The sequence below is a fragment of the Homo sapiens genome, chromosome 12 (genome assembly GCF_000001405.40).
Source record: "Homo sapiens chromosome 12, GRCh38.p14 Primary Assembly".
NCBI classification, from domain to species: domain Eukaryota; kingdom Metazoa; phylum Chordata; class Mammalia; order Primates; family Hominidae; genus Homo; species Homo sapiens.
Window position 1 is genome coordinate 116,576,711 of NC_000012.12, and position 23,735 is coordinate 116,600,445.

At 46.2% G+C, this 23,735-nt stretch overlaps 1 annotated feature.

The window, feature by feature from the left end:
- Positions 374-668: a silencer, noted in NCBI's record as "tiled region #4921; K562 Repressive DNase matched - State 8:EnhW". NCBI's record gives its function as "represses a minimal TATA promoter and a strong SV40 promoter by Sharpr-MPRA in K562 cells {active_cell/tissue: K562}" and the evidence as "EXISTENCE:reporter gene assay evidence [ECO:0000049][PMID:27701403]".

Below are 23,735 nucleotides of genomic sequence, written 5' to 3' on the forward strand. Positions count from 1 at the left end.
GACCACTGGTATAGAACATGGGCATAACGATCTTTTAGAAGCAAACTTCTAAGGCCGATTGAGGTGGCTCATGCCTGTAATCCCAGCACTTTGGGAGGCCGAGGTGGGTGGATCACCTGAGGTCAGGAGTTCGAGACCAGACTTACCAACATGGTGAAACCCCATCTCTACTAAAAATACAAAAATTAGCTGGGCATGGTGGCGAGTGCCTGTAGTCCCAGCTGCTCGGGAGGCTGAAGCAGGAAAATCGTTTGAACCTGGGAAGTGGAGGTTGCAGTGAGCCAAGATCCTGGCATAGCAGTCCAGCCTGGTCGGCAAGAATAAAACTCTGTCTCAAACAACAACAACAACAACAAAAAGAAACAAATGGAAGTATATGTGATTTTAAATAGAAGTATATGTAATGTGCATACAATAAAAGTATACAAATAATTTTTAAGAAGGGAACACCTCTTTGTAAGTGCCACCCAGATGAAGATATACAATGTTACCCAATCCCAAAAGTGTTCCTCCTGCGCCTCCGAGTCATCCCTATCACCACTGCCAAAGCTAACCGCAGATTAGACTTAGAGCCTCCACATTTGTTTTCATTAGTTTTTAACCTTATGTAAATGAAATCATATAGCTCGTTCTTTCACTCAGTGGCATGTTAGTGAGTGTATGTGTGATTGTATGGGTTTGTCCAACTTCAGGCTATATTGCATAATGCCACATGCAGTGTTGCATTTATAGCATTGAACAAATATGCCACACTTTACTTATCTTTTCCACTATGATAATATTTGGGTGGTTTCTAGTTTGAGGCTATTATCAATAATGCCACTATGAACATTCTTGAACATATCTTTGGATCCATATTTACACATCACTACTAGGCATATTCTTGGAGTGTGTATGCTTATGTTCAGCTTTAGGAAATGCTACTAAACAATTTTCTGAAGTGGTTGTACTAATTTGGACTCCCACCATCTGTATACAAGGGTCTCAGCTTCTCTAAGCATTAACAACACTTGGTATTAACAGGTTTTCTTTTCTTTTTTTTTCCTGTAAACTTAGCCATTTTTACATGTGTAAGTGTAAAATTTATATATAGTAAGGTGCAAAAATCTTAGCTTAGTTTTATTTACATATGTAAAAATCTCACTGTGGTTTTAATTGCATTTAATTGACTAATGATATTGACTCCTTTTTGACAGGTTTATTGGCCATTTGGATTTCTCTTTTGTAAAAAGCTTGTGTGTTTTGCCAATTATTTTTTAATTGCATTTTTTTCTTATTAATTTGCAGGCATCCTTTTTAAATATTCTGAATATGAATCCTCTGCTTGATATCTTTAGTTCAACTATCTTCTCCCATTCTGTGGTTTGCATTTTTGTTCTCTAATGGGATATTTTGATGAACAGAAGATCTTAATTTTAATGAAGTCCAATTGATCAACTGTTTGCCCTTCCTTCCTTTCTTCCTTCCTTCCCTCCCTCCCTCCTTTCTTTCTTTCTTTGTTTCTTTCTTTCTTCTTTCTTTCTTCTCTTTCTCTCTTTCTTTCTTTTTCTTTCTTTCTTCTTGCCTCTTTCTCTCTTTCTTTCTCTCTCCTCTCTTCCCTTCCTCCCTCTCTCCCTCCCTCCCTACCTTCCTTCCTTCCTTCCTTCAACAGGCTCCTGCTCCATTGTCCAGGCTGGAGTGCAGTGGCGTGATCTCAGCTCACTGCAACCTCTGCCTCCTGGACTCAAGCCATCCTCCCATCTCAGCCTCCCAAGTAGCTGGGGCCACAGGCAGGTGCACTGCCACCACACTCCGCTAATTTTTGTATTTTTTTCTGTAGAGATGGGGTTTCTTCATGTTGCCCAGACTGGTCTCAAACTCCTCGCCTCAAGCAATCCGCCTACCTCAGCCTCCCAAATTGCTGGGATTACAGGCATGAGCCACTGCACCCAGCCAGCTGTTTTCTTTATGGTTAGTATTTTTTTCTTTTTCTTTCCTTTTTTTTTTTTTTTTTGATAGAGTCTGTCTTAGTCACCCAGGTTGAAGTGCAGTGGCATAATCTTGGCTCACTGCAACCTCCGCTTCCTGGGTTCAAGCGATTCTCATGCCTCAGGCTCCTGAGTAGCTGGGACTACAGGAGTGTACCATCATGCCTGGCTAATTTTTGTGTTGTTAGTAGAGATGGGGTTTCACCATGTTGGCCAGGCTGGCCTCAAACTCCTGACCTCAGGTGATCTGCCTGCCTCGGCCTCCCAAAGTGCTAGAATTACAGGCGTGAGCCACTGCGCCCAGCCTATGGTTAGTATTTTCATGTCCTGTCTTAGAAATGTTTCCCCATCCTGAGGACATAAGGATATCCTCCCATGTCATATCCTAGATTTATTGTTTTAGTTTACACATTTCAGTCTACAACCATCATAGTAATCATAACCAGAAATATATAATGGGTAGATATGACCCATTGCAATATTTTCAGTCCCTCATGGTCTTCCAGAACTTTCTGTTGCCCATGAGAGGTGGAGTCTATTTCCCCTTCCCTTCAACCTGGGTTGGCCTCTATGACTGTTTCAACCAATAGAATAAAGCGGAAGAGGCACACGTATCCTTCCAAAGATAGCTCAGAGAAGGTAATATGGCTTCCACCTGGCCCTCTCTCATTCTCTCAGGACACATGCTTTGGGTGCTGTGATCACCACATAAGAAGTATGATTCTAGGCCAGGCATGGTAGCTCATGCCTGTAATCCCAGCACTGTGGGAGGCTGAGCGGATGGATCACCTGAGCTTAGGAATTCGAGACCAGCCTGGCCAACATGGCGAAACCCTGTCTTTACTAAAATTAGCCAGGCATGGTGGAGCATGCCTGTGATCCCAGCTACTTGGGAGGCTGAGGCACAGAATCGCTTGAACCCAGGAGGCGGAGGTTGCAGTGAGCTGAGATTGTGCCACTGCACTCCAGCCTGGGCAATAGAGTGAGACTCAGTCTCAAAAAGCACAAAAAAACAAAGAAACAAATCTGGTTCCCTGAAGCCACCACAACGGAGAGATCACATGGAGAAACCACATCAAGATAGAGAGAGAGACGCCCAAGGAACCAGCTCTTCTGGCCACCAGCTCCACAGGTCTTCCTGATCCATACACCAGACTTGAGTGTGAAGAAGCCTTCTAGGTGACCCCAACGGTAGCCACATGTGATATCCTGAGCTAGAATTGTCCAGTCAAGCTGCTTATGAATCTTTATTCTACAGAAACCATGAAGGATAACAAATGAATCCAGCCCAGCATGGTGGCTCGTACCTGTAATTCCAGCACTTTGAGAGGCTGGGGAGGGAGGATCACCTGAGGTCAGGAGTTCAAGACCAGCCTGGCCAATATGGTGAAACCCCGTTTCTGTAAAAATACGAAAGTCAGCCGGGCATGGTGGCAGGCACCTGTAATCCCAGCTACTCAGGAGGCTGAAGCAGGAGAATCACTTGAACCTGGGAGGTGGAGGTGGCAGTGAGCCCAGATCGCACCACTGCACTCCAGCTTGAGCAACACAGCAAGACTCCATCTCAAACAAACAAACAAACAAACAAATGAACATTGTTTTAAGCCACTATGGTTTGGGCTTATTCGTTACCCGGCAATAGATGATTGCAACAGAAGGCAAGAAGACCAGCCATCTCTCCACACTCTAACCTGGCACTAATTTGGAGGGGGATAAGCTTGGTCTCCACGCCTGCTCCTTATTTCAAGGGTGTGTTCTCAACCCCCAAAGGCAAAGAAGGCCTTGACTTTCCCTTAGAGAGCCTCATTTCCATCTTAGTGCCTATGCAAGTAGCAGAGCACATTCATGAAAAGAGAAAGTCCTGGAGATTTAAGAGATGGGAAAGATGAGATAAGAAAGATAAGAAATCCCCCTTGGCAACCCCTGAAGAGTAGTGAGGTTTTGGTGCTCATCCAGAGAGATTAGCAAGGAACACTTGAGGAGTATCAGTCAGAAAGATCCATGAGGGGCTTGGGGGACACTTTATTCCTCGAAAAGAGGAAATAAGGCAGATTTCACGGAGATCTCCTGGCTCTGGAGCGCCTGCCTCTCAGCTTTGGCTCCAAGGAGATTCAGCAGCTCAGGGTGGAGAAAGCTCATTCCAAGTGGGCCCAGGACCTACAGGAAGCCTCTCTGAAACAGCCCAAGGGAAATGCTGATTCTACTTACTGGTGGCTGAGGGAAATCAAGGTGGTTGCTTCATTTATAGGACTATACTTCTCCCTTTTTAAATACATGCTGATATAATTTGGATATTTATCCCCACCCAAACTCATGTTGAATTGTAATCCCCAATGCTGGAGGTAGGGCCTGGTGGGAGGTATTGGGATCATGGGGACAGATCCCTCATGAATGGCTTGGGCCATCCGTTTGGTGAGAAGTGAGAGATCTGATGGTTTAAAAGGGTGTGGCCCCTTCCCCTCACTCTCTCTCTTGCTCCTGCTTTTGCTGTTGACATGCCTGCTCCCCCTTTGCCTTCTGCCATGATTGGAAGCTTCCTGAGATCTCCCCAGAAGCAAATGCTGCTACGCTTCCTATATAGCCTGCAGAACGGTAAGCCAATAAAACCTCCTTTCAGGATGCAGCGAGCTGAGATCACGCCACTGCACTCCAGCCTGGGCGACAGAGTGAGACTCCATCTCAAAAAACAAAATGAAACAAAACAAACAAACAAGCAAACAAAAATTACCCAGTCTCAGGTATTTCTTTTGTTGTTGTTTTTGGTTGGTTGGTTTTGGAGCATGGTCTGACACCTGGGCTGGAGTGCAGTGGTGCAATCATGGTTCACTGCAATCTCGACTTCCAGTTTCAGGTGATCCTCCTGCCTCAGCCTCTTAAGTAGCTGAGACTACAGGTGCGCACCACCATGCCCAGCTAATTTTTGTTTTTCTTGTAGAGACGGGGTTTTGCCATGTTGCCCAGGCTGGTCTTGAGAACTCCTGGGCTCAAGTGGTCCACCTGCCTTGGCTTCCCAAAGTGCTGGGGTTACAGTCATGAGCCATCGTGTCTGGCCCAATCTCTGTGTCATCATTGTCATATGGTGTTCTTTCTGTGTGTCTCTGTCTAGACGTGGCCATCTTCTTACAAGGACACTAGTCTTATTGGATTAGGAGCCTACTCTGCGTCAGTAGAACGGCCTAACACACATGCTTAACCTGCTAATAATGACAAGAACACCTACCTCTATCTACAGTAATGTGATTTACTTGTTTGCCTGTTTATTCCCTGCCCCCACCCCCACCCTCACCCTGCCAGAGCAGCTGTAGGAGATGGAAGACTTTATTCCTGTGGCTCTTGCCACCTCCTCTGCACCTAACCCAGTGGCAGGCACAGAGAGGGGCTCTGAAATTATTTCCTGAATGAATGGGTAAATGAATGAATGACGAAGTCAATACATGATAATAGCAATCCTTGATGAGTGCCTGCCTGATGCAAGCACTGTACATAATTTTCTTTCTTTTTTTTTTTGAGACAAAGTCTCACTCTGTCACCCAGGCTGGGGTGCAATGGCGCAATCTCGGCTCACTGCAACCTCCACCTCCCAGGTTCAAGCAATTCTGGTGCCTCAGCCTCCCGAGTAGCTGGAATTACAGGCATGCACCACCACACCCACTAAATTTTGTAGCTTTTGTAGAGACGGGGTTTCGCCATGTTGGTCAGGCTGGTCTCAAACTCCTGACCTCAAGTGATCCAGCCACCTCGGCCTCCCAAAGTGCTGGGATGACAGGCGTGAGCGACCACGTCCAGCCTGTACATGATTTCCTGTCCTCCTTCAGCCTTGCCTCCAGGGAGGGATAGTTTCCTGGTTTTCCAGAGGTTAGAAAACTTGCTTGAAGTTCCAGAATCACTAAGGGCAGAATCCCATTTCAAACTCAGCCCTTCTGAACTCCTGGGCTCAAGCCATCCTCCCACCATGCCTGGCTTATTCTAAAATGTTTTGTAGAGACTGGGTCTTGCTGCATTGCCCGGGCTAGTCTCGAACTCCTGACCTGAAGCGATCCTCCCACCTAAGCCTTCTAAAGCTCTGGGATGACAGGCGTGAGCCACAGCACACGACCTTTTTATTTTTTTTATTTTTGTATCAAGCTCTTTACTCCCGAGCGCACTCTTAGCCACTCTTAGTCTGCAGGGAATCCACCCACGCTTTTTCCTTTCTTGAGATAAGACAAGAGTGTTTTCCCAAAGGGCCTTGAGCACCAGAGAGCAGAACTCCAAGCTGCTGTGCTGGGCGTGGACCAGGCCCGGCATGGAGCCCACACAGAGCCTCTGACTTAGGCCGGGGGTTCTCATCCCATTTCCGTGGCCTGGGAACTCAGGGGGAAAGAGCAATTAAATTAGAGGGGTCAAAGAAGGAGGAGGAGGGTGGGGAGCTGGTGGCCAGACCCAGAAAGGCCAGATTTCAATTTGCATAATAATTTTGTTAGCAACAATGGTCATCCAGGACATCTCTTTAAAGGCTGTAATGTTAATTTAATGGGAAAAAAGCTAATACAATTCCCCCAGAATTTTTCAATTAAATTAATGTGATGGGCTTTAATGGATAGCTTAAGTAGAGAGCGTGAATAGGAGAAATATTGCATAAATTATCCATACATTTATATATGTGCTGCCCGTATATGTAATCTCTCCGCTCTAAGGTTTTGACATATGAGAGGTCTTATGCTTAAATCTGGCAACAAGTTATGACTCTATTTCAATTAAAGTGACCCTTTTATCATTCAAAGAAGGGGGGGATGCTCCTTCCCATGTAGCTTCCACACAGCCCTTCCTTTCAACAACACACCAGAAGATTCCAGTCTTAAAGAAACAGAAGGCTCGTGTAACAATAACCCATGAGAACACACATGTGCACAGAAAGTCGATGATATGAGAAATCTGTAGATGCAGAATCTCGTTCCCTGCTCTCTGCTCCCCAAAGACACTTGATGGAGCAGAAAATAAAATGGATTAAATTTCAAGGACCCCTTTATCTTCTTGAGCCTATATTTATTTGTTCATATGTTCCATTTAGCAGATGTTTACTGGACACCCACTAAATGCTGGATGCTGTTCAAGGTGCTTCAGGGAATCGTGCAGTGAGCAATCAGATGTGATCACTGTCCACAGTATACTGTCCCTCTTGGTCAAATCTCATAACCATATACGAAATGGTGCTGATTTATTTCTGTAAAAAATGCAAGATAATATAAATTCAGGTAGCCTTTTCGTGCCTCCATTTGATTCTATTTTAACTCCCTTCATTTAATTTAATTATTTTAATTTTTCTTTTTTTGAGACAAGGTCTTGCTCCATGGCCCAGGCTAGAGTGGAGTGGTGTAATCACAGTTTACTGCAACCTTGACCTCCCAGGCTTAAGCGATTCTCCCACCTCAGCCCCCTGAGTAGCTGAGACTACAGGCATGTGCCACCGCATCAGTGAGCGCTTTAAAATTTTTTAAAATTTAAAAATTTTTTTGTAGAGTCAAGCTTCTGCTGCGCTACCCGGGTTGATCTTGAACTGCCAGGCTCAAGCAATACACCTGCCCTGGCCTCCCAAGATATTGGGATTACAGGCATGAGCCACTGCATCTGGTCAAATGGAAGCATTGATTTTAAATTTTTTAAGTTTTTAACTATTATGGATACATAACAGTTGTCTGTGTGATATGGCTTGAACATATGTCCTTGCCAAATCTCATGTTGAAATGTGATCCCCAGCGTTAGAGGTGAACCTGGTGTTTGGGTGGTGGGGGTGGATCTCTCATGGCTTGGTGCTGTCCTCACAATAGCAAGTGAGCTCTCACGAGATCTGGTTAAGTGTGCGGCATCTCATCCCCCACTCTCTCCCTTCTTGCTCCTGCTTCCCCCTTATGACTTGCCAGCTCCTGCTTCACCTTCCACCATGAGTAAAAGCTCCCTGAGGCCTCCCCAGAAGCCAAGCAGATGCCAACACCATGCTTCCTGCAGCCTGCAGAACTGTGAACCAATTAAACCTCTTTTCTTTATAAATTACCCTATCTCATGTATTCCTTTATAGCAATGCAAGAACGGCCTAACACACCATGCCTTTATTTATCACTTGTAAAATAAAGATAATAATTGTGTTAGCCTTAAATCAGTGTCCAAGATGGCCCCAACCATCTCACTGCCTCCTATGGGCCTTATTCACATCTTTGCATAGGACCCTCCCACACTGAGTAGTGTACCGGGTAGCATGTTGTAGAAATGGGAGGCTGTGACTTCTAAGGCAAGGCTATGGAAGACATTGCAGCCTCTTCTTTGCTCTCTCTTTTGGCTCATTTGCCGAAAGAGAGGGAGGCCAGCCACCATGTTGTGAGGACATTCCAGTAGCCCTGCAGGGAGGTCTGTGTGATGAGGAACTGAGGTCTCCTGCCAATGGTCAGATCACCTTGCCAACAGCCACATAAGCGAGTCACCATGGAGCAGATCCTCCAGCCCCCAATGAGCCTTCAGATGAGACTGCAGCCCCAGCCAACATCTCAACTGCACCTTCATGAGAGAATAGCCAGCTAAGCCACTTCCAGATTCCTGACCCACAGAGACCTCATAAAGTAGTGTTGATTGTTGCCTTAAGCCACTAAGTGTCAAGAATAATTTGTGATGCATCAATAAATAAATGAGATGGTTTTCTCCCTTTCCTGCTGGCCGTAGGTGAAATTACGGTGGAGGCAAAGTAGGTTTTCTCATTAAGGTCCCCATACCTGCTTTCTGCTTACCTTTCCTAAAGCAGCACCCCTGTTCCCTTGCTTAAGCTTGTAGCTGATGCAAGTTTAATATGACCACTGTCAGAGGTATTGTCATTTTAATTACAGTCTCTTGAAAATCAAAAAAGGATTTCAAGCCTAAAGAAATGAAGGTCTCCAGGTAAAATCTCTGTAAACTGGGAAGCTGTTAGGTGATGGGAGCTTCCAGGGATCCTCAAATCACCTCTCTAGGGATCCATGCTTTTTTACTCAACTCCTAGCATGTCAGCAGCCGAGACAAAAAGGGCACACAAGTGCTGGCACTGACTTATTTCCAGTTTTGTTTTTTTTTTTTGCATCAATCTTTGTTTCCAGAGGCTATTTTCCCCCATCTTAGGCTATGATGGTTCATGATCTGCTGATAGGAAAAATAAAAAGCTAAGTGAGGTTTTCACTGATTGAACTCCAAAACTGGGCTGGATGTGGTGGCTCATGCCTGTAATCCCAGCACTTTGGGAGGCTGAGATGGGCAGATCACGAGGTCAAGAGTTCAAGACCAGCCTGGCCAACATGGTGAAACCATGTCTCTACTAAAAAAAAAAAAAAAAAAAAAAAAAATTAGCCGGGCGTGGTGGCAGGTGCCTGCAATCCCAGCTACTTGGGAGGTCGAGGCAGGAGAATTGCTTGAACCCAGGAGGCAGAGGTTGCAGTGAGCCGAGATAGTGCCACTGGACTCCAGCCTGGGCAACAGAGCAAGTCTCCATCTGAAAAAAAAAAAAAGAAAAAGAAAAAAGAAAAAAAACCTCCAAAACTGACCAACAGTGAGCATTCAGGAAGGCTTGGCCACACCAGCCCACGGAGGTAGCTGCAGACTTGCATGGAGCCCCATGTTGGAATCTTGGCTCTGCCACTTACTGGCTGCAGAAGAATGAGCAAGCCTGTTGACCTCTCTGAGCTTTGTTTTCTCTCCCGTAAAGTGGGGATATTAATAGTTGTCTCATAGCCTGGCACGTAGGAGGAGCTGAATGCACGCTGCTGCTGCTCTTATATGGCACCCTATGGAGAGTGTGTCAAAGGCAGCAGGAAATAGCATTTCTGCTCAGCATCTCTCAAACTATTTAATTTAAGCTTTCAAGGACTGATACCTAAGGGAGATGATGAACCTACAGCACTAGGTGGTGAGCGCTTTCTGTCCAGTGAGCCCACCTACCAAGAACTCCACTGCCTGCCAGGGTAGGTGGCTCGCTCTGTGCTGATTTCTCAAGAGAGTGTCCCTCTGAAACTGACTACTGTGTTGGCCCCTTTCCCGGGAGGCATAAGGGTGACAGCAAGGGGCAGGGGAGCCAGAGCTCCTTAGGGGAGCAGAGGAATTCTCTCCTTGGTGGGATCAACTCTGATTTGAAGTGGAGACAGGCTGAGAGCTTGAGTCTTCAAGGGCAACACATTTAGGGGAGTCATGGTGTGTCTGCCTCTGGAGCAGCAGAGCAGAGAATGCGGGACTCTTGGTTTCTTCACTTGGTTTGTACAAGGATGTGACTCAAGGGTTAGCCCAGCCATCTTCATCACCATGTGGACAAAGTCAGTCTGCAGGAAGAGAGAGGGACACACAGCTTCTACTTCTTAACCATTTCCTTCTGTTTCTGAGCAGACACCTGGATCCTTGTGCTTGACAACATGGTTTTAGACTACCCTTGATGATATACAGCAGAAACAGAATGGGAATTAACCAGGCAGATGAGCATTAACTCCTCTGTATTGTAAAAGAAAGTGAGCAGGCAGTGTCACAGAAATCATGTAGCCAGATAAGAGCTATCAATGACCCATGTTTGCCCTTGATAAGAGCTGCTCTTTGCACCTATAAAGGAGAAAAGAGGTGGTGACTGAGCAATGATCAAGAGAGCGTCCATTAATTAGTCCCTCCATCCATGCGTCCATATATCAACTCAACCACTCATTCATCCATCCACCCATCCATCAATCCATCAGTCTGTTGATCCAGTCAGCCAGCCAACCATTCATCCATCCACCCACCCATCCATCCTTCCATCCATTCATCCATCCATCATCAACTCATCATCCCTTCATCCATCTAGCTACCCATCCATACATTGTATCCATTCATCCATCCATCCACCCATCCAACCATTCACCCATTCACTCAGCAAACTGTCATGGAGCACCTTTCATATCCTTGACCCTATGAGAGATTTCCAATTCAATGAACATTTATTAAAACAGTATCCATCAACTTATCCACCCCATCCATCCATCCAGTCACCCATCCAACCATCCACCGACCACTCCACTACCATATCTTCCAACGTGCAAGAAATGTTATCTGGCAAAGCAGTAACAGCTCTGCGCCTGCTCTGCTAGATGCTGAGGATGCAAAGAAAAATAAGCCAGGGTCCCTCAAGGAGTTTACAGTTTGGTTGTAGGTGGGGGATAGAAATGTAAACATCCAGTAGAGTAAGGAAAGTACTGAAGGAACACAGAGGAGGCCAAACCGTCCATAGTTTACATTGGCCCACCACAGTGGGATTGGGGTTGCCCAGAGCTGAGCAGTGTCCTCACTCAATCACCACCATATATAACTGCATATTTTGTGGGGAGTCAGTGAGGTGGGAGAAGAGCTAACTCATCACAGTGGACAAGTTTTATTTGACTAACACCTTTTGAGAGAACCACTGCTCTCCACTTCTCAGTCATTGTAGTTCAGAGACAGCTGAACCCACCCATCTGCTCCAGGCCTGGCTAAGGAGAAAACCAAATACGCCTGGCCACTGGAACAGGCTCTGAGAGGTAGCCATTGAAGCCATCCTGGGGACCTTGGCTGTCCTGGGGAAAAGGGCAGAGTCTCCTTCTAAAGCTGATGAGCCTGGAGCTGCTGGGACCCATGCTTCCCACCATGAAGAAGGAGGGTGTCTGAGAATGATGCCCAAAGGGAAGCATTGCTGAGAGGAGAGAGAGCAGGGGATGAAGGCATTGGTTGAGCTTCTGGATCCAGCTGCGCTGAAAGCCACAATAGAGACCTCGCCTGACACATTAACAGAAAAATCCCTCATTTGGTCTCAGTTAGTCTATGGTGGCTTCCTCCACAAACCTGGGGACATTTGGAAAGGAGCAGGAACTGCTTTGCCAGGTAATGATGCTTGCATGTTGGGAGATACAGTGGATGGATGAATGGATGGATGGATGGATGGATGGATGGATGGATGGATGGATGGATGGATAGATGGATTGATGGGGTGGATATATTGATGGATACTATCTTAATCACCAGTCACTCACAGCTTCAAGTACAAAAAGCGACTCCTATCAAGGGCAGATAGTGTTCACTGATTCTCTCATTCAGTCAATAATTGGCCTGAATTTTAGTTTCAGCCCTGCCTCTAACCAGCTGTGTGACCTTGGGTTAGATGCTCTCCCTCTCTGGGCTTCAGACACATCAACTGTAAAGTGAATGAATTATATTACATCACATTTCTTGAAGCATAATCAGAACAGTAGTCCTTTGGGATACACTGGAAAATAAACTATATTTATGGGTTGAATTCTGTCTTGCAAAAGAGATATGTTGAGGTACTGCCGGTACCTCAGAATGAGACGTTATGTGGAAATAAGATCATTGTAGTTAGTTCAGATGAGATCATACTGAAGTAGAGTGGGCCCCTAATCTAACAGGATTGGTGTCCTTGTAAGAAGACGGCCACATGTAGACAGAGAGACCCAGAGAAAGAACAGCATGTGACAATGATGAAACAGTTTGGGCCAGGCACGGTGGCTCACACCTGTAATCCCAGCACTTTGGGAGGCTGAGGAGAAAGGATCGCTTGAGCCCAGTAGTTTGAGACCAGCCTGAGCAACACAGGGAGACCCCATATCTACAAAAAATAAAAATAATGAGCCAGGCATGGTGGCGGGTGCCTGCAGTTCCAGCTACTCGGGAGGCTGAAGCAGGGGAACTGCCTGAGCCTGGGAGGTCGAGGCTGCAATGAGCCATCTTCTTGCCACTGCACTCCAGCCTGGGTGACAGAGCAAGACCCTGTCAAAAAAAAAAAAAAAAAAAAAGACAAAGGAAAAGAAAAAGGAACAGAGATTGGAGCAATACAGCTACAATCCAAGGAACACCAAAGATTGCTGGCCACCACCAGAAGCCAGGAACAGACAAGGAAGGATTCTCTACAGATTTCAGAGGGAGCACAGTCCCATCAACACCTTGATTTCTGACTTCCAGCCTCCAGAACTGTGAGACAATAAATTTCTGTTGTTTAGAGCTCGCGCACCTCCAATGTGTGGCATTTGGTTAGAGCAGCCCTAGGAGACTAATCCAGGAGTCAAGGACGCTTGCTAATTCTGCATACTGTACTCCTCTGAGATCCATCATGCACACTATCGTATTAAAGGCTCTAAGAAGTCCTCCCGTAAAGACCCATTTAAATGCGTCTAATCCAGCACTTCCACAACTTCTTTGATGACTCCTAAGATTAGAAGATCTCTAAGATCTTTTGCGACTGCAACTGCGTGGGGTGTTAGGAAGCGGACAAGCAATGAATGTGGGTGAATCTGGCTGAATGTCTATACTTTTTATATTTCAACTTTTTATTTATTTATTTTTTATTTATTTTTTATTTTTTCTGAGACGGGGTCTCACTATGTCACCCAGGCTGGAGTGCAGTGGTGCAATCTCGGCTCACTGCAATCTCCACCTCCCAGGTTCAAGCAATTCTCCTGCCTCAGCCTCCCAAGTAGATGGAATTACAGGCATGTGCCCCCACGCCCAGCTAATTTTTTTGTATTTTTAGTAGAGATGGGGTTTCACCATGTTGGCCAGGCTGGTCTCGAACTCCTGACCTCAGGTGATCCACCCACCTTGGCCTCTCAAAGTGCTGGGATTACAGGCGTGAGCCACCGCGCCCCCTCTGTTTTAACTTTTTAAAGAATACACGTAAAGTATGTGGTTTAAAAATATCCAAACAGTACAAAAAGCTGTATAGGAAAAATACATTCCTGTCCCATACCTCTCCCCCAGGCCCTTCAGAAGACACAGCTCCCCATGTTCTTATTTATTCTTCCAGAGTGTTCTACACATATATACACCCATATAGAGATACGATTCTTGTTTTGCACAAATGGTCATCTAGTATATTTATGATTTTTCTACTGTGTTTCTTAAAAAATTAACATATCTTAGAGATTTCTGTATTATAAGTACAAATCTGGTGCTTATCCTTGTCTGGATAATTCTGTGTTGTGGGTCTGTTCTGTGCACTGTAAGATATTGAGGAGCATCCCTGGCTTCTACCCACTAGATGCCAGTAGCACCCTGCTAAGTTGTGACAGTGAAGAATGTCTTTAGATGTTGCCAAATGTCCCCTGGGGCAGTAAAGTCACCCCCTGGTGAGAAGCATTGATGTAGCTCTAACTCATTCTCTGTAAAGGCTGTCCAGCCTATGGTGTATGGGGACACTACAGTTCATTATTTATATAACCAGTCCCTTGTTGGTGGATATTTAAGCTATTTCCAGTCCCTGATTAGTATAAACGATTTTTTTTTTTTTTTGAGATGGACTCTTGCTCTGTTGCCCAGGCTGGAGTGCAGCGGCGCAATCTCTGCTCACTGCAAGCTCCGCCTCCCGGGTTCATGCCATTCTCCTGCCTCAGCCTCCCGAGTAGCTGGGACTACAGGCACCCGCCCCCATGCCTGGCTGATTTTTTGTATTTTTTTAGTAGAGACAGGGTTTCACTGGGTTAGCCAGGATGGTCTCGATCTCCTGACCTCGTGATCCACCTGCCTCAGCCTCCCAAAGTGCTGGGATTACAGGCGTGAGCCACCGCGCCCGGCAACAATGTTATAATGAACGTTCTTGTGTCTTTGGCACATAGGTAAGTTTATCTGTAGGATAAACTGTTGCACATTTTCTTGTTCACCACTCAGTAAGTGTTAGTTAAGTAAGCAAAAAAATGGAAAGAGAAAGGCTGGGAGTGGTGGCTCATGCCTGTAATCTCAGCACTTTGGGAGGCTGAGGCAGGTACATCACTTGAGGTCAAGAGTTTGAGACCACTTAGCCACCATGGCGAAACCCCATCTCTACTAAAAATAATAATAATAATAATAGTAATAGGCAAGCATGGTGGCGCATGCCTGTAATCCCAGCTTCTTGGGAGGCTGAGGCACGAGAATCGCTTGAACCTGGGAAGTGGAGGTTGCAGTGAGCTGAGATCACACCACTACCCTCAAGCCTGAGTGACAGAGCAAATCAAAAAAAAAAAGAAAAGAAAAAAAAAGGAAGAAGAAGAATGTGAGCTGAGAGCTTCAGTTCTTATCTTTTAAACCAAGTCGGGGGAATCCTACCTGTTGTTGGAGGAAATGAGGTCAACCCACTGAGAAAGACAGAACCAAGAGATGGAATTTTCATTTAAGCCCCTTGATCCAGTTGTGCCTGAAGCCACCTACTCCTGGCTTTACTCATTCTGTGATCCAATGCATTCTCTTTAAGGCTTAAGCCTGTTTGAGTTGAGGTTTTATAAACTTCAACTTAAAGACTCCTGGGTATAAACAGAAGCATGACTCCTCCAAGAAGCCTGTCTGAACTCAGCCCTCCTTTCTGGCTCCCGCAGACCCTGTGCTGTCTATGCTGAGCCAAGTACCTCCTCTGTGAGAGTCACTGTTCCCTCGTTGGTCTCCTTGCCCCTGTATCTCCAGCACCTGGATCAGAGGGGATGCTCAAAAGGATCCACTGAATGAATGAGTGTTAGTGTCTTACAACTCACAGCCTCGACGCCTCTGCTCAGTGGGGGCTCAATAAATCCACACAAGAAACCTTCTGGCAGCCAGACGAACTTTCTTAACTTGATCCAGGAAGTTCTGCCAAAGGAGCAAAACAATACTCACTCCAGGGCAGGGGCTGCCCGGCAAAGGGAGGCGTTCCTGGGGTGCAGGGAGGGGCGGTCTTCCAGGAATCTCTGCCACCCTAAGCCGCTGGCTGGACATCCCTGGGCAAATGGCCCAGTGGCCTCTGAGGTCTCTGTGCTTAAACCTCCCACTCCCTTCCAGAACAGGTTTGGCCTTATTCAGAACCATCTTATTTCAGCAAATCCTGCCCCAGCTGCTGCACACAAAGCATGCTATTTACAAAGTTAATGTTTACAAAGTGTTCTGAGGGCCTGTGCACAAGTAGGACACTTTATAGGCCAGCAAAAGTGATAAGAACCTCCCCGAACGGCTTCCAATCTGTAAAGGGCCCGAATGCACACAAGTTAACACGAGGAGATCCCAAAAGACTAAGACGGAAGGACAGCAATAAGAATGTACATTTAGGCCTGGGCCAGTGGCTCACACCTGTAATCCCAGCACTTTGAGAGGCCGAAGCAGGAGGATTGCTTGGGCCCGGGAGTTCAAGGCCAGCCTGGGCAACATAGTGAGAACCTGTCTCTACAAAAAAATTCAAAAATTAGCCACATGTGGTGGCTCGTGCACATGGTTCCAATTACTCAGGAGGTTGAGGTAAGAGGAGGCACCGCCCAGGAGGCAGTGGTTGCAGTGAGCCATGATTGCACCACTCCAGCCTAGGCAACAGAACGAGATTCTGTCTTAAAGAAAAAAAGAAAGAAATGGGCCAGGCACAGTGGTTCATGCTTGTAATCGCAACACTTTGGGAGGGTGAGGTAGGAGCATCGCTTGAGCTCTGGAATTTGAGACCAGCCTGGGCAACATATCAAGACTTCGTCTCTACTAAAAATTAAAAAAATAGGCCAGGCGCAGTGGCTCACGCCTGTAATCCCAGCACTTGGGGAGGCCGAGGCAGGCGGATCACGGGGTCAGGAGATCAAGACCATCCTGGCTAACACGGTGAAATCCCGTCTTTACTAAAAATACAAAAATTAGCCAGCATGGTGGCATGTACCTGTAGTCCCAGCCACTCGGGAGGCCGAGACAGGAGAAACGTTTGAACCCAGGAGGCAGAGGTTGCAGTGAGCCGAGATCGTGCCGCTGCACGCCAGCCTGGGCAACAGAGCGAGATTCCGTCTCAAAAAAATAAATAAATAAATAAAAATAAAAAAACAAAACTTAGCCAGGTGTGGTGGTGCAACCCTGTAGTCTTAGCTACTTGGGAGGCTGAGGTGGGAGGATCACTTGAGCCTGGGAAGTAGAGGCTGCAGGGAGATATGATTGTTCCACTGCACTCAAGCCTGGGGGACAGGGCAAGACCTTGTCTCAAAATAAAATAAAATAAATGCACATCTAAATGCCAGCCACATTCATGAGCATGTCATACTGACTGTTAAATGAGCACCTACTATGTGCCAAACACTGTTCTAGGTCCTAAGTGCCCAGCAATGAACAAAAGCCTTCTTTCTAGTAGAGAGAAGTGGGCAAAGAGATAAATAAATACGTTTTTTGTTTTTTGTTTTTTGTTTTTTGAGACAGAGTCTTGCACTGCCGCCCAGGCTGGAGTGCAGTGGCACCATCTTGGCTCACTGCAAGCTCTGCCTCCCGGGTTCACACCATTCTCCTGCCTCAGCCTCCTGAGTAGCTGGGACTACAGGCACCGACCACCACACCTGGCTAATTTTTTGTATTTTTAGTAAAGACGGGGTTTCACCCTGTTAGCCAGGATAGTCTCGATCTCCCGACCTTGTGATCTGTCTGCCTCGGCCTCCCAAAGTGCTGGGATTACAGGCATGAGCCACCGCGCCTGGCCAATAAGTTGTTTCAAACGCAAATAAATGTCATTTAAAATAACAACGCAGGCCAGATAAGGAGGGACTTGGGAGGGGCTTCTTTTGTTGGGAAGTCACTTCTGTTACCTACTCAATCTTCACAACCACTGGATGTCCCTGTCCCCATTTCATGGAAGAGGAGGCTGTAGCTGGGAGAGCACAGTGACCTGCCTCAGACCCAGACAGAAAGAGTAGACTTCATTAAGGGTACCCGGAATCTGTTTTAATCGAGGCTGGTAAGACACACAGACACGGAAACGACTGTCACGAAGGAAGAAGTTGATGATGTCCACAGATGCCTAAAACAGGAAGCATGGCACACCACGCAGGGCTGCACGAGGCAGCACTAGGGTGGGGCAGGAGGCAGGGGAGGTGGGGAAACATGGGCCAGCGCCTTTACTGTGGTTTCCCCAGGAAAAAATAAGCAAGGCAGGGTAAGTGGGTTTAGGATTGGCTCGTTTGAATAATTTCAGCAGGCTCTGGAGGTATAGGGGCTGTCCCTTAGTTGTCTGGTTCCTGGCTCTGGGGTGACTATGGCAGGTAGGTAGTGACCAAGATTATGAAAGTCTAATAAAATAGGCTGCTGGGGGTAGGGTTTCTGGAGGGATTGGCTTGCATTTGAAAGGCATGCTCTCCGGTGACCTGTTCACTTTCTCCAGGAATTGGACAGCTCTGGGAGGGGAAGTCCTTCCAGGGTCACCAAGGCCCCAAGATGTCAAAGCATCAGAATACAGAAAACAAAAGACATGGTTGATACACAGACCCAGCCTAGGGCTTGAGCCGCCCCTTGGGCTGTCCGCAGTCACCATGGGGACATAGACCCTGGAGGACCCTAAGAGGGACCCTCCATCTGTGGAGAGAATGCAACAGGTGGGCTTCAGCTACAAATGGAATTTCTCTTGTGCCACTCAAGATGGTCTCTTGGCATGGACTCATTAATCCCCATAAGCCTGCGGGCAGAATAAAATAAGATATAGAGAGGCACTTACACTGTGGAGCTGATGAGAAGGAAAATGAGTTTGTGCCAGAATACCAAAGAATTGTTTTATTTTCTTATAAATTCTCCCCCATTTCAATTCAGAGTTTGTTATGGAGGGTGGGAAGGGTGTCCTTGATTAAAACAACAAAAACACTGTTTTCAAAAATGTAGCTGGCTGGTGCCCATGTTGTTTTAATTTGCTGAGACCAGATTGTCCAGCCCTCATGGATTTGATCCCAGGCAGGCTAGTTTGACTTATTCAGAGAAAACTCTGTTTTTCAGCCACAAACTGTACCCCTAACCCTGGCCAAATATGTTGCAATTCCTGCTAAAGGTTCCAACAGTGGTTGTCCAGGAATCCTGAGCCCACATTCCGAGTCCCATCTCCAGACTCTCCTTGCATGCCCTCCACATGCCACTGGCCCCTGGAGGAACCACCCTGCAGAGAGACCACAGAACTGCTCTAGGCTTAGCCTCACAGTAAAACAAGACCAGGTACAAGCATGTGGTAGGTACTCTGTAGTTGTTTGCTGAATGAATGAGTGAATGATTGGAGGGGTGGAGAGGTGGATGGGTGGATGGATGGATAGGTGGATGGATGGATGGATGGATGGATGGATGGATGGATGGATGGATGGATGTGTGGGAGGATGGTTGGATGGGTAGATGGACAAATGGATGAAAAGGAAAATAAGTGAATGGGTAGGAGGATAGGTGGCTGGGTGGGTGGATGGATGGATGGATGGATGGATGGATGGATGGATGGATGAAGGGATGGAAGGGATGGATGGATGGTTGAATAGGTAAATGGGTGGATGGGTAGATGGCTGAGAGGGTAGATGGATGGAAGAGTGGATGGATAGATGGATGGACAGATGAATGGATGGATGCATGTATGCATGGATGGATGGATTGGTGGGGAGATGGATGGATGGATGAATGGTCTTACTGATCATGAGCCTTTTGCATTTCAGGATGAGCTTCAGAACTGAGAGACAATGTAGCATAGGGATGAACGTGCTGGAGTTAGACAGATCTGAGACTGCAAATTAAATTAAAGTGGTATCTAGTTTGTAGGGTAGTCGAAAGATGATGTGTGCACCAAGCACAGCACCTGACCAGGGAGGGGCTGGTGACTGTTTTCATGGACAAGGGTGAAGCCTGTTGTAATCTAAAAGATACTGGGAAAATAGCTTTCTGCTGAAAATGTCTTTAGCCCAACCTTATTCCCTGCAGGTAAAAAAATTTCTACCATCAGAAATGCAGATCTTCAAGAGTCATACAAATGGCCAATAATGTGGAAAAGATTCAAAGTTACTAATAATCAAATAAATGCAAATTTAAATAAATAGATACCAAATTAGCAAAGTTTTTTTTTAATTAAAAAATTCACTTAGTTTGCAAAGTGTTCAGAAAGGAAGACCCCAATATAGTATTTATAGGAATATTAATTGGTATAACCTTTCTCAATAGCAATTTGGAAATTCGTACCAAGAGTCTCAAGCCATACCCTTTGACCCATTAAACCTACTTTTAGGAAGTTTTTCTAAAGAAATAATCAGAGAGATAATCAAATGTCTAGGTGCAAGGAAATTTATTGCAGTGCTATTTATATTAGCAAAAAGAAAAGGGGAAGGGGATGGCCCTTCTCTGTTCAACTGACTTATGATCAAGACAGCATCCATCAATATATCCATCCATCCATTCAATCATTCATTAATTCATTCAGCAAATAGTTATTGAGTACCTACCATATGCTTGGCCCTATGAGGGATTTCCAATTCAGTGATTAGATAATTTATAATATACCTATATAACGGATTATTATCCAGACAATAAAATGAATTTTCCCAAAATATTAAATAAATTATTTGTTTATTTATTTTTATTTTTATTTTTTGAGATGGAGTCTCACTCTGTCACCCAGGCTGGAGTGCAGTGGAGTGATCTCAGCTCACAGCAACCTCTGCCTCCCGGGTCCAAGTGATTCTTCCACCTCAGCCTCCCGAGTAGCTGGGATTACAGGCGTGTGCTGCCACATTTGTCTAATATTTGCATTTTCAGTATAGATATGGTTTTAGCATGTTGGCCAGGCTGGTCTCAAACTCCTGACCTCAAGTGATCCACCTGCCTTGGCCTCCCAAAGTGCTGGGGTTACAAGCATAAGCCACCACACCTGGCCTTAAACAATTTTTTTAAATGCTTAAAATGTAATGTTGAAAACAAATACAGGCGGGATGCAGTGGCTCATGCCCTTTGGGAGTGAGCCACCAGCACCCAGCACTTTGGGAGGACAAGGTGGGCAGATCACCTGAGGTCAGGAGCTCGAGACCAGCCTGGGCAACATGGTGAAACCCCGTCTCTAATAAAAATACAAAAAATTAGCTGAGTGTGGTGGCAGGCGCCAGTAATCCTAGCTACTTGGGAGGCTGAGGCAGGACAATTGCTTGGACCCAGGAGTCAGAGGTTGCAGTGAGCCAAGATCGCACCTGTGTACTCTAGCCTGGGTGACAGAGTGAGACTCTGTCTCAAAAAAAAGAAGAAATACAATATGAAATTTTATATATTAGATGGTCTTATCATTTTAAATGTATATACATACATACACACACACAGGAAAAAACACATGGTGATAAGTTTCAGTGACTTAATTCTTCCTTTATTTTTCTGTATTAATGAAGTTTTTTACACTGAGCACATCCAGAAAACAAAGTTATCAGAGTTATTTTTTCTGGGTTGTTTGAAAGTTTTTACAATGAACATGAATTATATAATTAGAAAAGAATAAAGCTATTGTCACTGAGAATAAACTAAAACCAAGAAAATCAATTAAACCTTCAGGTTGGTTCATACATTCTTTTATACCTATTATGTACCAGGCAGTGTGCTGGAGATGACAAAGATACAGGCTCCCATCTCTAGACATTCATGCTAATAGGTAATTGTCCTAAGTTCTATGAGTGTATATGTGGTGCTGTATGAGCACAGAAGAAAGAATTTTTGCCTGGGTTTATGGAGGGCAGGGGACAGGAATGAGGTCTCTGAATCAGTGGCACTGGAGAGGGTTTTGAAGGCAGAGAGGTAAGGACATGGAATATAGGCAAGGACTTGGGTCTCATCATGGAACAGTGAGAGAGGCAGGGTCTCCAGGGATTCCTGAACGTAATCCCATGAAGTTCTGGAATCACCGAGGTCTGAGAACCAGATGCAGCCCACAGACCTGTTTTGTCTGACCTGCATTGTTTTACAGCTTGGACCATGTCTCATAAAACTCCAGATTCCTGGCTTCTTAAACATCTGGCAATACTGTCCCAATTCCTTCCAGGCCATGAGCAGCTGGGACTGAGAGGCAACCACGCCCTCGGACCCATCCCCCACTTCACTCCCTTATCTTATGTCTGACTCTATAGGCATTCAGTTAATGATTCCTGACCTCCCCCAGCCCACCACCCTTGTACAGATAAGGAAATTGAAACCCAGGGAGATACGCATCTCGTTCAATGGCACCACTGCATTGTGACTGAGCCAGGAGTCTTTACCCCAAACCAAGCCAGACTCAAAGCCGCTGCTTCTTCCTTTATGTGGTCCCAGTTAAACTCCTGGCCTTGGCTCTCTGGGTAAAGAGAAAACATAATCCTAACCATCTTCATGACTGATTGGCAATATTTTCACTGTGACTTTTCCTCCAGAGACATGTAAAGATATCACCGTGAGTTTGTAAGATAATCTTTCCTTTAGAGTTCTGCTGTTCCTTGTCATTTTGCCCGTGAGGATGGCCTGTTGGCCGCACGGGGACGACAGTCAAGAGAGAACCGTGACCTTGTTTGCATTGCGTTGCTGATACACACGAGTCTTTGAAACAGGCCATCCATGAGCCTCACAACCTCCTGGCATAGCAGGTATTAATTACTGTTCACCACTTATTGGAGGAGGAAACGGACGTTCCAAGATATTAAATGGCTTGTTCAAGGTCACACAGCTCATGAACGACTGGTTCCAAAGCTCCCTGCCCTCTCCACCGCGCCTGGCCGCTCAGAGCCCATGATGAAGTGATTTGGGTAGAGCGAGGTCAGGCCACATCTGTTAACCAAGTAGCCAGTCCTGGGCTTAAAAATTATTTGTTTCCAACTCTTTTTCTCTTTTCCGTCCCCGTATTGACAGGAACAGCTGTCTTCTTTTTAAAAGGGCTACTTCCATCTCTTTCATTTTATTGTTTCCACGTCTTTGATTGTTTTGGAACAAGTCCGATGGTGGAGACGGAACAGGGAGATCACGAAGACAGCCTCTCCTTTAAAAAATGACCATGATCTCACGCCTCCTCCCAACCCAGTGGAAACTGGAGCACCGCTCAAGGAGACGCTGCTGTCACAGGATCCTGCTTACGGGCACGAAAGCTGGGAAATTTCAGAGCCAATCTGGGCCAGGGGAGGCTGGAGCTCGTGAGCTGGGCTGGAAATGATTCTTCCAGACTGCAGAGAAGACAGTGGCCTGCCCGCCGGCCGGCCTGCCTGCCCTCCCCGAGGCCAACAGGAAATCCCAGAATTTATAGATGACCCCGTTACAAGGCAAGTGTTTTGGAACAAATTGTTCTTCTTTTAAAGCCTTGTTTTCCACTAGTTTTTCTTTCTGGAGTCCAACCGCAACCCCCACGCCCCCCACCCCGCCCCACCCACCCACCCTTTCCACCTTCCCGGTGTCCTTGTTAAACCGGGGCCATGGCGCCACCTGCTGCCTGTCGTGGGCAGCGGGACTCTGCCGGGATCCGGTCTTGGGTCCTCCCCCCACCTCCCTTGTCCCAAAATGGGTGGGAGAGTGACTTTCTGGCTCCTGTCCCGAGGAGGGTTTGTATAAAGATCACGTATCAAGCCTCAAGAGAACTGCTTCCGTAGTTACGTGACCTAAAGACTCATGGCAAACTCTTCCCCCGTCACTTGTCCTCCAGGAGAGCCAGAGCTGGCTGGCAGAAAAGGCAAGTCAGATGGCATCACCATCCAAGGCCAGGTCTCCACTCCCTGAAAACCAAGTATGCCAGCTTTGAACAACCATGTCAACCCAATGAGCCTTGATTTCTTCAGTACCCTCTGTAGCCAATTTGCTAGGTGGTATGGAAAATGGATATGCGTGTGCCTGGCCCATGGAAGGGGCTTAATCAACGTCTGCATCCTTTCTCTCCTATTTGGAATATTCCTTATTGGGAAGGAATAGCTTGGAGGGTCTTAGAGGTGAAGGCCAGACCTCAGAAAACTGGTATATTTATCTCCTTATAAGAATGTAAGCTTCAGCACTTTGGGAGGCCAAGGCGGGCAGATCATCTGAGGTCAGGAGTTTGAGACCAGCCTGGCC